This window comes from Homo sapiens, chromosome X (genome assembly GCF_000001405.40).
Source record: "Homo sapiens chromosome X, GRCh38.p14 Primary Assembly".
NCBI classification, from domain to species: Eukaryota; Metazoa; Chordata; class Mammalia; order Primates; family Hominidae; genus Homo; species Homo sapiens.
In genome coordinates this window covers 3,176,378-3,178,564 of record NC_000023.11, presented here as the reverse complement: position 1 = coordinate 3,178,564, position 2,187 = coordinate 3,176,378, and the positions used below count along the sequence as shown (strand labels likewise).

General features: G+C 36.7%; 1 annotated feature.

Annotated features, from left to right (window-relative positions):
* Positions 531–731: a silencer, noted in NCBI's record as "peak7351 fragment used in MPRA reporter construct". NCBI's record gives its function as "represses an SCP1 promoter by STARR-seq MPRAs in K562 erythroleukemia cells {active_cell/tissue: K562}" and the evidence as "EXISTENCE:reporter gene assay evidence [ECO:0000049][PMID:32103011]".

The window sequence follows — 2,187 nt, the reverse complement described above, 5'->3', positions numbered from 1 at the left end:
TCTCAGTCATAGATTGCTTTTCCTGGATGGAGATGCTCATGACCCACCATTCGGTCATAGATTACTTTTCCCTGAAATCATAACATCACCACCCACCATCAGAGTCAGAGATTGTACTCTTCTTATTATTTCTCATAAGAACATCCCTGACCTCTCCCCTTGATTTTAGATATATAGTTATGAATAAATAACCCAGTGGCCCCACAACATTGACATATTTCCATGTAGGAAAATCTTCCAGAAATCTTCAAATATGCGGTTGTCATTACTGAGAATAAGACAGAGCATTTATGTAGTTATTTGCTTTTTTTGAGACCATGGGCAGCCTACATGTAAAACTTGAAAATGAGGAATTGCAAAAGGGAAAATGTAAACCAAAATATAATATATTCAGTACCGAAAGAGATAGTGATCGTTGCCTTAAGTAAAGACAGTGACTCATACAACAAATGCTGACTTGAATGGAGGTGTGAACATATCCAGATACGTGCAGTGTGTCACACAAGCATCTAATGAAATGAAACAAAGCAAATAAAAGACCTAAGTCCAAGCTGCCATATCTATTGGTTATAGGAGTTAGAGGAGAAAACACCCTACTCAGCTGAGAGAAGACTGTATTTCCAAGGACATGCGCCTCTTTTTATAGAAAAGAACTCTTAAATCCATTTGAGTCAGGAAACATTCAGTTCACTTAAGTTTTATGACTCTGTAAACTCAAAAATTATCTCCCAATCCACTTATGTTTTATGACTCTGTAAACTCAAAAATTCTCTCCCTAATTATAATGTAGCTTTGCATATATACTTCTTAATTGGAGAAGACGATTGCCTTAGGTTGATGCCTAGCAGTTAAAAGGTTTACTGAATTAACATTACAAATGAATTTGAATAAACATATAGCTGACATTTTGGTTGTCATTCAGAATCTTTTGCATGCAATTCAATGAATTCAGCATGAGGAAGTATCATGGAATTCAACAAACTAAAAACATAATTTTGACCCTACTCAGTACAGGTAAATAGAATGTGTACAGTTAACCTAAAATATAATTCTCTGGATTAAACAAAAACATAATCTAACAGTAAAAACGTGATTTTCTGGATTAAAAAGATTTTAGGACATTTTCTCTAAGGTTCTGTATGAAGCTTATCCAGTGATAACTGATCCCATCTCACCACTTTTCCAGGTGTTTGTAAGTCAGCTACAGGATTGGCCAGTGGTCTTATCTTAAACCCCTTCATTCATTCACCAAGACAAAGGGGATCAGTGAAGTAGTAGAACCAACCAGCGTCATTAGCAAGGTCATCAGTTTGCATGCAGTGGCTCAACTCAAGCTGTTGAAGATGTATAGGAGAAGATCCCATATACAAAAATGGCCCTTTGTAAACTATATCTTCTCCAAGAGCCTGAAGGTATTATTGCATTGACATTCTGTGAAGAACGACAATTTGGTTAAAAACAAATTTTGATTTCAGCTCCATGCAAAACCGTTCCCTAAAACAAGGGGTAGATTGGTTAAAATCAAGAAAGAAAAGAAAATCAGAACAATAACAGAGTAATTAATTGGCAGGCATATACAAGAGTCTTTTTTTCTTTCACAGCTTTCCTCAATAATTACTTTGCCATGGAACAATGATCTGCTGATTAAGGTAACACAGATTGTTGTATTTCAGAGAAAAATTGTTGTATTTCAGGGGAAATAGTGAGATCAGGCTACAGGGTAATTGGGGTAAAGACAAAGTCAGAGGAGTCAAAAACAATACCAGAAATGTGGAATCTGTTAGAAGATTTCTCATTCCTTCCGTTCATCACTGAGACCAGCACGATCTGAGGTCAGCCCAGCGATGGAGCCATCATGCTGACTTCTTTCTTTCTTTTATTGCGAGGAATTTTGGTTCTGGGAATGAGAAGCTTAAGTAACACATGTCTGAAATTCCTAATCCTTCACAGGTCAGCCTTCACTGTTCATTAAGCACTTTAGGATCTTGTGCTTTGAGTCGGTGGCTGGGAAAGTTCACTTCACTTCCCAAACTGGATTTCATAATTCCATCAGCAGATCCCCTTGGCTGAATACAGTTACCACTGAAGGTTCCTTCTTTTTTTTTCTCTCTCTCTCTCTTTAAATTCAATCATTTTTCCCTCTGGATATTCTCATTTCATGAAGTCTGGATTTCTTTTAAAACCCTC